At 52.2% G+C, this 15,144-nt stretch overlaps 1 protein-coding gene and 1 long non-coding RNA gene across 2 annotated transcripts in view; one reads left to right on the plus strand and one right to left on the minus strand.

Moving 5' to 3' along the window:
* DLGAP2 (DLG associated protein 2) overlaps window positions 1-15,144 on the plus strand; it is a 970,849-nt gene that overhangs the window by 817,289 nt on the left and 138,416 nt on the right. Inside the window, exon 6 of the mRNA NM_001346810.2 lies at window positions 10,767-10,978. Coding sequence (NP_001333739.1) covers window positions 10,767-10,978 — 212 coding nt within the window. The remainder of the gene's footprint in view (window positions 1-10,766; window positions 10,979-15,144) is intronic.
* The window catches only part of DLGAP2-AS1 (DLGAP2 antisense RNA 1), a 56,156-nt gene continuing 51,604 nt past the window's right edge, over window positions 10,593-15,144 (minus strand). The window contains exon 4 of the long non-coding RNA NR_103863.1: window positions 10,593-10,822. This is a non-coding gene — a long non-coding RNA (DLGAP2 antisense RNA 1). The remainder of the gene's footprint in view (window positions 10,823-15,144) is intronic.

Genomic DNA, 15,144 nt, shown 5'->3' on the forward strand with positions numbered 1-15,144 from the left:
GGGCAAAAGAGGGAGAAAGGAGATTGCTGTGGTTGGTTCCTATCCTTAGCGATACCAGTGCTCAGCAGAATGAAAGAACTGGCCAGCCTGGCTGTGCTCCACTCTAATGCACGTTTGCAATTTGAAAGGAGGGCTTTTGTTTTAAGTGGCTCATGGTATAGATCTGGGGCCGTGAATGGATAGGAGAGTTGGGGTGTGGCCACACCTCACTTCCAATCCCGTAGTGGAATAGCAGGTCCGGGAGGAGCTTCTCATCCCCTTTTAAGCCACTCTGGACACAGACGCACAACCCTGCACAATCCTTCCGCAGCCCCTCGAGTTTCTGGTCTGGATCTCTCCTGCACTGACACCCAGCCACCAGCTGCCCCATCCATCCAGTGTGAGTCCTAAAACGCCTCCTTGAGACAAAGCGGTGACCTCCGCTTCCAGGAGCCACGTGTGCCTGCCCCCCACACTCTATGTTCCCTGTCCTGTGGCCCAGGCCACACCATTTCCTGACTGCAAAGCCTGTGTTGTGAGGGGCTCCTCCACAACTGCCCTGCCTCTGGGCCACCGCTTCCCCCCGGCCCCGACTGCCACAGAATCCTCTCCCACCTTGAGTACCGTCACACAGGGCTTGGCAGGATCTCGCTGGTGCTCACCGAGCCCGTTCGTGTAATCAGGGACCGTCTGCAGGAGTGCAGGAGCTGGGCCTGTGCCTTCGAGCCTCTCACTGTCTCCCCGGCTGGACTCCTCCATCACCCCCCAGTTGTCCTGGGACTCGGTGTGTCATCGCTGGGAGCAGCTTGGTGCCGGGCAGGCAGGGAGATCGCTGGGCTGTGTCACATCTCAGTGACATCATCTTAGGACCCAACACATTCTTATCCCCATGACGGAAATTCCAGCAATGTTTGTTGAAATGCTGATGGATGTTGAAGGGTGTCTGGTTTTGGGTTGTTGGCTAGCCTTGTGTCTGGTAAATCTTTCTGCCTCTTCAATCCTTCACGCCTCCGTTTGTGGTGAGATTCAAGACAGTGTTCCGAAAAGCACATTGGAAATCATAACTCATGTGAACATGGAACACTGGGTGGGTGCATGCGCTGTTTTATCCAGGTTTACCAGGGGAGAATGACATGGCCTACATGTAACTCAAGATGGTCGTGGATGCAGAGACCTCATGGTGACTGGGTGCAGAAACCTTGTGACCTGTGACTGGGTCCTTGGATTCTGTGATCTAAGACCCTGAGGAACCATCTGCATTTATGCCATGACGGCCACCGAGTGGTCACCTTGTTCTGGGCACAGTGCCCTCAACTTGGCAGCTGAGGCTCTGCTTCTGCAGGAGTGCAGGTAGATGGGGTCCGGCTCTGTCCTCTCCCTCCCAGGGCAGATGAGGCTCTGCTCCTGTGGGTGTGCAGGTGGGCGGAGTCCTGCTCTGTCCTCTCCCACCCAGGACAGCTGAGGGTCTGCTCCTGCAGGAGTGCAGGTGGACGGGGTTTGGCTCTGACCTCTTCCTCCCAGGGCAGCTAAGGGGTCTGCTCCTGTGGGTGTGCAGCTGGGCGGAGTCCGGCTCTGTTCTTTCCCTCCTAGGGCAGTGGATGCCCCAGGCTTGTCTGTTCCCGCTGAGTCTGTGTCTCCTGCCTCAGACTTGGTGGTCCACATGCAGTACTGCTCTGTGAATGATCCTGGAAGGGCTGACCCAACCCAAAGTACAGCAGGACTAGGAGCTGTTGGAGCTCAGGCCGGTGAACTGCAATTTAAGTTATCCCTTGTCTGTCTTGGTGTTAAGGAGTGGAATGGAATCAAGTTTGTCCTTAAGAAAATAAAGTGGGCAGCTGAACTCTAAACCTAACTCTGACTTGGTTTCAGTGGCTCAGAGGAAAAACCACAACAAACAAACAGGAAAGGAAAGACTTCCCACCCAAGCTAAATTGTTGTAGGGACACCAGGGTGGATTTGAGCAGCATCGCGAAGATCTCTTCAGCTGAGATGTACATCCCGGGAGGCAGCAGCCATGCACCCAGCATTTCTCAAGCTCAGCACAGCGGGATGGGGGCTGGGAGATGCTTGTGGGGTCGGTCTTATGGAATGGGGGATGTTGAGCACAGCCATGCACCCAGCGTTTCTCAAGCTCAGCACGGGGGTGGGGGCTGGGAGACGCTTGTGGGGTACGTCTTATGCACTGGGGGATGTTGAGCAGCATTTCTGGGCTCCACCTACTACCTGCCGGAAGCACCCCCATTTAGTGACAACCAAACATATCTCCAGATGTCACCAAATGTCCCCTGGGGGCAGAATTACCTGGTTGGGAACTGCTGGTGTCATCCAAAGAGCGTGAGCTTTAGAACAAGACAGACGCGTGGAACCTTCTCACAAGCTGTGCAGCCGGGGGGCTCACAATAGGGGCTTTCCATGGAAATAAATGGCTATAACTGTGCCTGCCTGACCTCCCTCAGGGTCCCGGAAAGAGCCCCTGGTGAGATGGACGTGCCGATGGCCACGGGTGTCCTCTCAACAAGGAGATGGTGGCTGAGGGGTGAGGACACAGGATGGGGCAGAGGGCAGGGGTGAGCAGCGGGGACAGGTCTCGGCCGATTCTGAGAGAACTCAGGTGCTGTGTGAACTCAGGGGTCTCCGCACCGAGGCAAGGAGTGGCCGTCCTGCCTTCATGCCGCCAGCCTGGGTGGTGCGTGAGTCAGCTCGGGTGCCATGACGGGCATACACACCCGGGGGGCGTGTAAAGGCACATTCATTCCGCAGGGTCCTGGTGGCTGGTGCCCAAGACCGTGGAGTCCCAAGGCCAGCTCCTGCTGAGCCTCTCCTGGGCACGCAGACGCCGTCCTCTCCCCATGTCCTCATAGGGTTGCCCCCTCTCTGTCTGTCTGTGACCTCATCTCCCCTTCTTAGGAGGATACCAGGCAGACAGGATCAGTGCCCACCCTGGTGACCTCATTTTACCTTCTTCACCTCTGTAAACGTCCCATCTCCAAATAATCACATTCTGAGGTCCCAAGGGTTAGGGTTCAACATAGGAATTTGGAGGAACACAATTCAGGCCATAACTTGTGTGTCCTTCCCAAGGAGGGGTGTGGGGAAGGCAGCTTTCTCCCGCTGAATGGCTGAGGGCATGCCCTGGAGAGACTCAGCCATTGGCTGGCACCTCCTGGCAGGTTGGAGCAGGCACCTTGGTCCTCGAGGGGTGAGTGTGGCATCCACGCATCCTGGGGGCTCCCATGTGGGTGGGGTTATGCCAGGCATGCAGCGCCTCTGTTGGTGGCCTCCTGGTGTCCATGAGCCCGTGGCTCCCATTCCAAGCATGAGGGCGATAGGAGCTGGACGGGGCCAAAGGGCCCAGTCACGTGTGCCCAGTCGCAGGCGGCTTAGATGGGGGTTTTGTACACTCAGCTGTAGTGTGGCCCACAGGTTTGGAGATGGCCATAGGAAAGACAGTTCACAACTCACAGCCCCAGAAGAGAGTGAGGCCACACCGCAGGCCTGGGGGACACACCTATGGGTCAGGAGGCAGGAGAAGAGGGAAGCGTGGGCAGGAGCCTTTGCCACAGTCTCTGGGAAGGAGGGAGACACATACAAACATGCACACACATACACACATAGGCATGCATGCACACCCATATACCTGCACACATACACATATATGCACATTACACATACACACACATACACACATAGGCATGCATGCACACCCATATGCCTGCACACACACATACACATATGTGCACATTACACATACATAAACACACATATGCACATAGGCATGCATGCACACCCGTATACCTGCACACATACACGTATACACACATTACACATACCCACACATACACACATAGGCATGCATGCACACCCATATAACTGCACACATACACATATACGCACATTACACATACACACATAAACACACATACGCACATGGGCATGCATGCACACCCATATACCTGCACACACACATACACATATACGTACTTTACACACACACACACACGGCTTAAAGGAATGCAGAAGACATTTCCCTGTGGGAACGCACAGCAATGGACGATAATGTTTTTCCTCGGTTCCAGTGCCTCCAAGAGAATATGATGATATAATCCTGGCCCCTTTCACCTGGGCTTTGCAGCTTGGAAGAAAGAAAAGATATTCCAGTTTGTGCAGTGTTGAACTATCCCTAAAGCAAGTAACAGGAGACGTCAAAATGTATGCTTATGTCACCCTTATGAAAATGCCTTTTTGTTAGAAATTATGAACATCACCCATCACTAGGTACAAGGAGGTAATTAGGGTAATTGATTGGCGTTAAATGCAGCAGGGACTGCAAACTGGATTTGCAGAGTCTGGTAGCCGTCGTGGAAAGAAATTTATTCATTCCTTCACTGAAGGCCATAAAGCCATTTTGGTTTCAGAGCGTGCACTAGGCCACCCTGGGCTGAGGGCTGCAGGGTTCGAATGCTGTAACATAACGGAGAGAGATTTGTTTGCTGAGGCAGGCTGGCATTTTAGTATTGCTCTTCTGTTCTTTTGATAGTCTCCAGACATATGCTTTGGAATGGGGATTTGGTACTTGAATTCATGCTTTGAAATTGACTCTGGTTGACATTCTTTCTGTATTGAAATTTCTTCTGTCAAAGCCTGCGAAATTGGCTTCTTAAATCAGAAACAGAAACATACAAGCTGGTCTCATTTGTTAGTTAATTTGCAGGCTGCTGAAGAAAAAAATCTTTACTTTGTTTTTTATGGAAACATGTTTTTAATTCACAAAAAAAATCCCATAAACCTGCCAAAGTGAATCTCTTCTTTGATGGCAGAGGAGCTGCTCTTCCATCTGCCACCAGCCAGCCTCAGCCTCCCTTCCCGAACTGAGCTTTTCACACATTCCCAGGAGAGTGGCAGCGTGAGCTCCCCCGTGCCCAGGAACTGGGTGGCCGGGCCTCCTTCTGCCCCATCGCCTCTGCCTGCACCTTCTGCTGGTCCAGCTCAGACAAAAGTAAACCCGGACCTCACCCCAGGACCTTTCCTGATCCTGGCCCCTCCCGTCAGCCGACAGTGACCTTCAACACGTGTCCCCTCCACACTGGCTTCTCCACCCTGATGATGCTACCACTCATTTCATGTCCATCTCCTGTACCGAATTGTAATGTCATTGAGAACTGTGGCTTTTCTTAAATTAAAAATAAGGGTGTTTATTACAAAAGTCATATAGGGTTCATGTAGACAATTTAAAAATATAAAGAAAAGTCATTGAAAACCCTGTAATCTTCATCTCCTAGTGACGGTCCCTGTTTCACATCTTCTGGCTGCTTCTGCACATAACACAGTTACATCTTTAAAAGACATAAAAATGTCAAGTGCTTTAAAAATTGCTTTTCCCCCTCATGAGCATCTTTTCATCACTAAATGCACATTCTGGAATAGTATTTTGGGTAGCTGGGTAGTATCCATCCTGTGCTTTTCGCCCTCGTGAGCATCTTTTCATCGCTAAATACACATTCTGGAATAGTATTTTTGGTAGCTGGGTAGTATCCATCCTGTGGTTTTAATAAATATTGTAAGCCATCCCCTATGATACAGTACTGTTGTCATTTCTCCTCTTTCCCTGATTACCAATTCCCCAGTCCCTGACCCTGGGCTGCATTGTCTTGGGGAAGCTTCATGGAAGGAAAGTTGCCCACTCTAAGGACATGACCAGTCCGAAGGCCTCCAGTCATCTCCAGAAAGACCGGGCGCTCCACTGCCCGCCACCTGGCCTGAAGACACGGAGATAAGAATTGTCAAGTCCCCAAAGTTGTGAATTCTTTATTCTTCCTTAGTCATCTTTTTCCAGTGCTCAAACTTCCTCACTGTCAGGAAATGTAAACCAAAATTCACACGGACAAAATGTGAACAAAACATTGGCAAATGTACACCTGTTTTCTTAACTGCTGATTTCTTGCTGAGAGAACCTGCTGTGGCTGAGGCCCCAGGCCTGTCTCTTACCTGACCTACAGCTCTGCAGCTCTGCGGTGTCATCTGTGGGACATTTACATTGACCATGTCATTAATACCCGATATGGTTTGTGTCCCCACCGAAATCTCGTTTTGCCTGGCAGCTCCCATAATCCTCATGTGTCATGAGAGGGACCCAGTAGGAGGTGACTGAATCATGGGGTGGGTCTTTCCTGTGCTGTTTTCATGATGGTGACTAAGTCTTATGAGATCTGATGGTTTTTTAAAAGGGAGTTCCCCTGCACACACTCTCTTGCCTGCCACCATGTAAGACATGACTTTGCTCCTCATTCGCCTTCTGCCATGACTGCGAGGCCTCCCCAGCCACGTGGAACTGAGTCAGTTAAACCTCTTTCCTTTATAAATTGCCCAGTCTGGGGTATGTCTTTATTAGCAGTGTGAGAAGAGATGCATACAATACCTCCAATTCCCTTTCAGCGCGGTCTGTATTCCTCTTTGAACACGTGCAGACCTGGGCACAAGGCACCAGGTCATAAAGGCTTTAGAAGAACCCGGCTGGAGAGCACCACAGACACCGCCTGTCCAGCTCACGGTCACAGTTCAGGATCCTTGTCCTGAGCCTTTGGGCCTCTTGGAATCTGGGTGGAGGGAGAATCTGGAACTTCCCATCCTGTCCAACCCTCTCCTCATCACAGCATCTGGATCTTCTAGTGTGCGTGGTGCTAGGGTGTCACTGTGAGCTGCCGTGTGCCTGGGCCACCTTGGGGGTGCTACAGCTGTGATCCACCTGCACCGTGACCCACAGGGGCCTGCGGGACTGTGGTGTTGGGTGTCCGCGCCTCGTTACTGGGGGACTGTGTGGTGTTGGGGTGTCCGCGCCTCGTTTCTGGGGGACTGTGTGGTGTTGGGGTGTCCGCGCCTCGTTACTGGGGGACTGTGTGGTGTTGGGGTGTCTGCACCTCGTTACTGGGGGACTGTGTGGTGTTGGGTGTCCGCGCCTCGTTACTGGGGGACTGTGTGGTGTTGGGTGTCCGCGCCTCGTTACTGGGGGACTGTGTGGAGTTGGGGTGTCCGCGCCTCGTTGCTGCGGGACTGTGTGGTGTTGGGGTGTCCGCGCCTCGTTGCTGCGGGACTGTGTGGTGTTGGGGTGTCGGCGCCTCGTTACTGGGGGACTGTGTGGTGTTGGGTGTCCGCGCCTCGTTACTGGGGGACTGTGTGGTGTTGGGGTGTCCGCGCCTCGTTACTGGGGGACTGTGTGGTGTTGGGTGTCCGCGCCTCGTTACTGGGGGACTGTGTGGTGTTGGGGTGTCCGCGCCTCGTTACTGGGGGACTGTGTGGTGTTGGGGTGTCTGCACCTCGTTACTGGGGGACTGTGTGGTGTTGGGGTGTCTGCGCCTCGTTACTGGGGGACTGTGTGGTGTTGGGTGTCGGCGCCTCGTTACTGGGGGACTGTGTGGTGTTGGGGTGTCCGCGCCTCGTTACTGGGGGACTGTGTGGTGTTGGGGTGTCCGCGCCTCGTTGCTGGGGGACTGTGTGGTGTTCGGGTGTCCGCGCCTCGTTACTGGGGGACTGTGTGGAGTTCGGGTGTCCGCGCCTCGTTGCTGCGGGACTGTGTGTTGTTGGGGTGTCGGCGCCTCGTTACTGGGGGACTGTGTGGTGTTGGGGTGTCCGCGCCTCGTTACTGGGGGACTGTGTGGTGTTGGGTGTCCGTGCCTCGTTGCTGGTGGACTGTGTGGTGTTGGGTGTCCGCGCCTCGTTGCTCGGGGACTGTGTGGTGTTGGGGTGTCCGCGCCTCGTTGCTGGGGGACTGTGTGGTGTTGGGGTGTCCGCGCCTCATTACTGGGGGGCTGTGTGGTGTTGGGGTGTCCGCGCCTCGTTACTGGGGGACTGTGTGGTGTTGGGGTGTCTGCGCCTCGTTACTGGGGGACTGTGTGGTGTTGGGTGTCCGCGCCTCGTTACTGGGGGGCTGTGTGGTGTTGGGGTGTCCGCGCCTCGTTACTGGGGGGCTGTGTGGTGTTGGGGTGTCCGCGCCTCGTTACTGGGGGACTGTGTGGTGTTGGGGTGTCCGTGCCTCGTTACTGCGGGGACTGTGCAGTGTCCGGGTGTCCGCGCCTCGTTACTGGGGGACTGTGTGGTGTTGGGGTGTCCGCGCCTCGTTGCTGGGGGGCTGTGTGGTTTTGGGGTGTCCGCGCCTCGTTACTGGGGGACTGTGTGGTGTTGGGTGTCCGCGCCTCGTTGCTGGGGGACTGTGTGGTGTTGGGGTGTCCGCGCCTCATTGCTGGGGGACTGTGTGGTGTTGGGGTGTCCGCGCCTCGTTACTGGGGGGCTGTGTGGTGTTGGGGTGTCTGCGCCTCGTTACTGGGGGACTGGTGTTGGAGTGTCTGCGCCTCGTTACTGGGGGACTGTGTGGTGTTGGGTGTCTGCGCCTCGTTGCTGGGGGACTGTGTGGTGTTGGGGTGTCCGTGCCTCGTTACTGGGGGGCTGTGTGGTTTTGGGGTGTCCGCGCCTCATTACTGGGGGGCTGTGTGGTGTTGGGGTGTCCGCGCCTCGTTACTGGGGGGCTGTGTGGTGTTGGGGTGTCCGCGCCTCGTTACTGGGGGACTGTGTGGTGTTGGGGTGTCCGCGCCTCGTTACTGGGGGACTGTGTGGTGTTGGGGTGTCCGTGCCTCGTTACTGCGGGGACCGTGCAGTGTCCGGGTGTCCGCGCCTCGTTGCTGCGGGACTGTGTGGTGTTGAGGACTCCTTGCCACACGGGGTCCATGGTAAGGGGAGCTCCTGCTCGTCCAGGCTGGAAGTCCAGGATATGTGAGTGACAGAAATGAGCATGCCTCTCCCTCTCCCTTGGCTCCTGTCCTGGGCTGCAATGTGGAAGATGTCAGATCTGCCGGAGCACTGGTGTGGCATGGCATTTAGGAATGAATACAGGGGCCTTCAGCCAGAAGACCTGCCTTCACCACCAGCCACGCAGATCCCTGCTGGTAGTGCTGTCGATCGGCTCACAGGCAATATGGACACTGGAAAGATGGCAGGTTCCTTTTCTGATGATATAAGTAGTATACCTCAGTAGCTAAGTATTTTACAGCAAGGAAAAAAAATACCCTGTCTGAAGACCTTTTAAATATGGAAATTTTTTATTTTCTTTCTCTGTAAACAGCATTTGGGGAGATTCTCTTCTCCTACATGAAAAACATGCTATGTTAGTTCCTTGACTACAGACTGTGGGTGATGAGCTAGTTGCTGTGGAAAGCTTTGGAGTTCTCTACACTCAGCGACTGCATGCTGTGTTCTTTTGCCTTTGTAAACGTGAGTTTGACCTATGGAGTGAACTTTACCCAGAGCCTCTGGGGAGCTGTTCAAAGCTAATGAACCGTGGGGAAAAGAAACCAGGTCCTGACCTGCAGGGAGCAGCTCCCGCAATGGAAACCATTGTGTTCCAGTTCCATGACTTTTTGCTCATGGCTATGTTGGGTTTCCAGTTTCACAGATGGTGGATGGAAACAGAATACTGGCCTGCACTGTCATCTTCATGGTTTACCCTCCCCTCAGAGAGACACGTAACGCAAACACACAGCAGGCAGCCTGTGGGGCCGTTATGGGTGATATATAAAATGCACGTGGGTTCAGTTCTCGAACAGTCAGATACACAGCACAGGGGGGTTATATGTATGGGCTCTCAGCTCTGTGCAAGGCAGATATATAGCAAGTACATGGGCCCAGTTCTGTGCCTGGCAGATATATAACAGGCATAGGTGCTCACCTCTGTGCCAGGCAGATGTATAACATGCACAGTTGCTCAGTTTGGTACCATGCGGATATATAATACGCACGGGTGCTGAGTTCTATACCACACAGATATATAACATTCATGGTTGCTCAAGTCTGCACCAGGCAGACACATAACATGCATAGTTGCTCAGCTCTGTACCAGGCAGACATATAACAAGCACAGGTGGTCAGCTCTGTACCACACAGATATATTGCATGCACAGGCAGGTGCTGAGTTCCATACCACACAGATATGTAACATTCATGGTTGCTCAGGTCTGCACCAGGCAGACATATAACATGCGTGGGTGCTGAGTTCCATACCACACAGATATATAGTATTCATGGTTGCTCAGGTCTGCACCAGGCAGACATATAACATGCATGGGTGCTCAGCTCTGTACGAGGCAGACGTATAACACGCACAGGTGATCAGCTCTGTACCACCCAGATATATAACATGAGCGGGTGCTGAGTTCTGTAACAGGCAGACATATTCCATGCACAGGTGCTTGGTGATATGTCAGGTGGAATGTGATGTGGCTGGGCAAGATCCTTTTGCAACTCTGAGTACTGAGAATTTGCATGTATGATAGAACTTGGCTTCTAGATTTAAAACCGTCCTCTTTTATTTGCTTGCAATTAAGATATAAGTATACAATAAGATAGGCATTTTCTCCCTTGTTTTCTTTTTTTTTTTTCCTTTTCTTCTCTGTTCAGTTTCTCAACTTTCAATTTCCTCTTATACCAGAGGGAAATAAAACTAAATTTTAGCCAGTGCTTTGTCCCAGCTGCTGAGATTGCAAGTGTCCCTTCTTCTCTTACTTTTCTCACATGTTCTCACTTTATCCATAGTGTTTACCTATCACTTATAATGAAGAAAAACCAACATTTTTATATTCATTTCCTTTTAGGATATGCATTTTTATACATCTGACTTTAACTGATAAATGACTGTAAAGAGGTGTATCTTTATGGAATTGTAGAGGATTTGTTTCCAAAAAGGAGCTGATGCTGCCGTTCTCAGTGACAAAGTTGATGCGTGTTTCATGTCTGTCTGCTCCCAGGTACCTCAGGATGAGTGGGGAGGGTACCCCACCGGTGGCAAAGATGAGGAGATTCCCTGCAGGAGAATGAGAAGTGGGAGTTACATTAAAGCCATGGGGGACGAGGAGAGCGGAGAGTCAGACTCCAGCCCCAAGACATCACCAAAGTCGGCAATCCTACCAGAGCCGCTGCTGAAGTCCATCGGACAGAGACCGCTTGGAGAGCACCAGACGTAAGTGAGACCAGCTGCCTTCCCACTCCAAGCACTTTCCCACTGCCTGCGAGCTCCCTCTCCAAAACCACTTCACCGTGAGCTGAGTGCCATCCATTTAAACTAAATTGCCAAGCTGAAAATATTAGACCCATGGCTGTCAATTTTCAAGTATTTTTTTAAAGAACAACCAGAGCTTTTGTTATTTATCAATTACATAATAATTAAGGAAGTGTGCTTGGGCAACTTCCTTGTCAAATTATAAAGCCAACATGAGCCATCGTATCTTTCTGATCATTCAGATTATCCTCAGGACAAGCACATGTCTCTGTTTGTATGAATGTGTGCGTATGGGTGTGTGTTTGAATGTCTTTGTGAGTAAAACTCGTTAACGGAATTTTGTTGTTGACTATAACTTTGTAAGTGCATTTCTAGGCAACACATTTTTTTGTAGAGGAGGGAGGAAATGGACTAGCTTTATAAATATAATACCCTACACTTTACATATTTGCCCAAAATTTATTATTAATAAATTTAATTTTGAAAATATAGACAGATAAAACTCTTTGGGAAATCAGCAATTCCTATGAACCATGAAAATATGACTGTTACTGTCAACAGCCACGCTGCTGTGTATCTTGAGTCCCACAAGTTAGTTTGGGTGGTAATGCCAAGAACTGCCTGGAAGCTACCCCTGCCTTCTGCGGCCGGCTGTGAGGTCCTGGGCAAGTGGATAGGCAGGGCGGAACTGCTTCTCAGCCTTGGCCAGTGCCACATAAGAGTTATTAATTATGACCCACACATCAGACAGGGAGCCCTGGGCCACAGGGCCCTCCCTGTATTGTCTCTATCCACGCCGAGTGCACCCAGTGATGAGCCAGTGACCATATAACCTCTTCCAATACATCTAGTTATTCATCGCTGTTGGCTTACAAGATGAAAAAGTGAAATTTTAAATTGAAACCAAATCTTACAAATTAGAACTTCACAAATCCGAACTCTATCATTGTTGCCTAGTTCAGCTAAATTCAAGAGCTATGGTGTAGGAATGCCAGACAAGTCATGCCCTGAGACCGGGCCGCATGTCTGCCCAGCCCAGGCCCATCCATCTCCTCTCCCTCCACAGAGGGTGGTCAGTGCCAGCTTGTGGGACGAGTGGCTGAGAACAAAGCCAAAATGTTGCCCTGGGGAAGCTCTTAGACTTGTTGGAAGGAAATGGGGAGCAGGTGTTTGTAAGCCAGGAAATAACCAGGAAAGATGATTACCAGGAAGGGGTTGGGGAGCTGGACAGAGCTGGGAGCAGAGCCAAGTTGTCTGACCCATCTGCTCCAGCAGGAAAGTGAAGGATTGGACTGGATGTCAGCTCTCACCCACCTTTTATTTGGCACACTTAAAGACATTAGGAGAATTATGAATTATCTGAAACGTCTTCTGGGGAAAAGCACACACATGCAGAAGCTATGCTTCGTGGGTCCAGGGCTCCAAGGCCAGCCTCAGTCCTGGGGTTTTGGACCCCCAGGTAAACAGCCATTGGTTAACTTCCCACTTTAAATGTTTGTGATTCATTGCATAATTCTATATGTTTGAAAGCAAAACATGAAAAAACCAAAGCCTTTTTTAGACCATGGGCAGGGACTAAGTGTTTTAAGAATTACGAACGGCGTTTTCCTGTTGACGGGTTCCTTCTTCCACTCATTCACCATCACTGCCACGGGTCCCCCAGGATCATTATCACCTCATTCTTCAGTGGCAGAGACAGTGTCTCATTCCTTTCTTCACATCAGGGACTGGCCCAGAGTCCTGTACGAGGCTCCAGTACTAACAATGTTCAAAGGACACTCTCAGAACTTTACACTGGCAAAACTCACACCATCACCCAATGTAGTTGAAACTCTTCAAAAAACCAGCGGAAGGATGTGAGCCTGAGGCCCCCTGACAGCATCACCTAAACACTGGCCAGACCCTTCCCTGCCCAAGTGGGAAACCCTCTGGGAGTTCACTCACCAACAGCCCTTAACACCTGACCAGAAAGCATTCCATGGCCTCAAATCTGATCAGATGTGAGGAAAATGGGTGAGATGTGCTGCCTACGTTACTCCTGTTCTAAACACAAATCCACTCTGCCCGTGGACCCCCATGCCACTGTCCACTCAGCAAACACAAATCCACTCTGCCCATGGCCCCCATGCCACTGCCCACTCAGCAGACACAAATCCGTCTCTGCCTGTGGCCCCCATGCCACTGTCCATTCAGCAGACACAAATCCACTCTGCCCGTGGCCCCCATGCCACTGTCCACTCAGCAGACACAAATCTGTCTCTGCCTGTGGCCCCCATGCCACTGTCCACTCAGTAGACACAAATCCACTCTGCCCATGGCCCCCGTGCCACTGTCCACTCAGCAGACACAAATCCGTCTTTGCCTGTGGCCTCCATGCCACTGTCCACTCAGCAGACACAAATCCACTCTGCCCGTGGCCCCCATGCCACTGTCCACTCAGCACACACAAATCCACTCTGCCCGTGGCCCCGATGCCATTGTCCACTCAGCAGACACAAATCCACTCTGCCCGTGGCCCCCGTGCCACTGTCCACTCAGCAGACACAAATCCGTCTCTGCCCGTGGCCCCCATGCCACTGTCCACTCAGCAGACACAAATCCACTCTGCCCGTGGCCCCCATTCCACTGTCTACTCAGCAGACACAAATCCGTCTCTGCCCGTGGCCCCCATGCCACTGTTCACTCAGCAGACACAAATCCGTCTCTGCCCGTGGCCCCCATGCCACTGTCCACTCAGCAGACACAAATCCGTCTCTGCCCGTGGCCCCCATGCCACTGCCCACTCAGCAGACACAATTCCGCTCTGCCCGTGGCCCCCATGCCACTGTCCACTCAGCAGACACAAATCCGTCTCTGCCCGTGGCCCCCATGCCACTGTCCACTCAGCAGACACAAATCCGTCTCTGCCTATGGCCCCCATGCCACTGTCCACTCAGCAGACACAAATCCATCTCTGCCTGCGGCCCCCATGCCACTGCCCACTCAGCAGACACAAATCCACTCTGCCCGTGGCCTCCATGCCACTGTCCACTCAGCAGACACAAATCCATCTCTGCCTGTGGCCCCCATGCCACTGTCCACTCAGCAGACACAAATCCACTCTGCCTGCAGCCCCCATGCCACTGCCCACTCAGCAGACACAAATCCGTCTCTGCCCGTGGCCCCCATGCCACTGCCCACTCACCAGACACAAATCCACTCTGCCCGTGGCCCCCATGCCACTGCCCACTCAGCAGACACAAATCCACTCTGCCTATGGCCCCCATGCCATTGTCCACTTAGCAGAGATGGTGCAACAGTTGGGTCCATTCTTCCATTTATCCAGGATTTATCACTCCATTGATGAGTCCAACAAATGTCAGGCATTCTGCCAAACTCGATTTATACGTGCCCCAATCATTCTTTTTCCCTAAATCTGACGCCGTGTTGTAGATAATAAAGCAGAGAAAGCAGCCATGTGATGGGTCTGGACAGCGACCTGCCTGCCAGGGACCTGCTAACTTGAAAGTCCTCGAAACTCCTCTGAGTCACTCTTTGGGGGTTAATGTAATGAAAGTTTCTGCAAAAAAAAAATATTATGTTACCAGGAGGTATCAACACATTTTTGCTGTTGCCTATTCGCATCTTAGTTTATCTTATATTCCTTCACGTTTTATGGATTCCAACGTAATTCATTTATTTCCATTTTAGATGACATTGCTGAAGCTCAGCTTTGTAACTCAGGGAAGCTCTCATGATGCCTGTTTTATGGACAGAAACATGACTCAGGGAAATGAGGTGCTGGAGGCTGCACAAGCCACCAAGGCTCTCAGCTGAAGGTAGCTCAGCCCCAAGCCCCGTGGCCTTCAGCCCATGGCACTGCTCTGTGGAGGGCAGGGTAGATCTTCACCCTGTGGCACTGTTCTGCGGAGGGCAGGATAGATCTTCACCCCATGGCACTGCTCTGTGGAGGGCAGGTAGATCTTCACCCCATGGCACTGCTCTGTGGAGGGCAGGGTAGATCTTCACCCCATGGCACTGCTCTGTGGAGGGCAGTGGCGGAGGCCAGGGTAGATACTGTGGGGAGAGGAGAGAAAGGAAGAAAACGGCCAGGACTGGGAGAATTCCCATAGTTGTCACTCTGTAAC

Source organism: Homo sapiens, chromosome 8 (genome assembly GCF_000001405.40).
Source record: "Homo sapiens chromosome 8, GRCh38.p14 Primary Assembly".
NCBI lineage: Eukaryota > Metazoa > Chordata > Mammalia > Primates > Hominidae > Homo > Homo sapiens.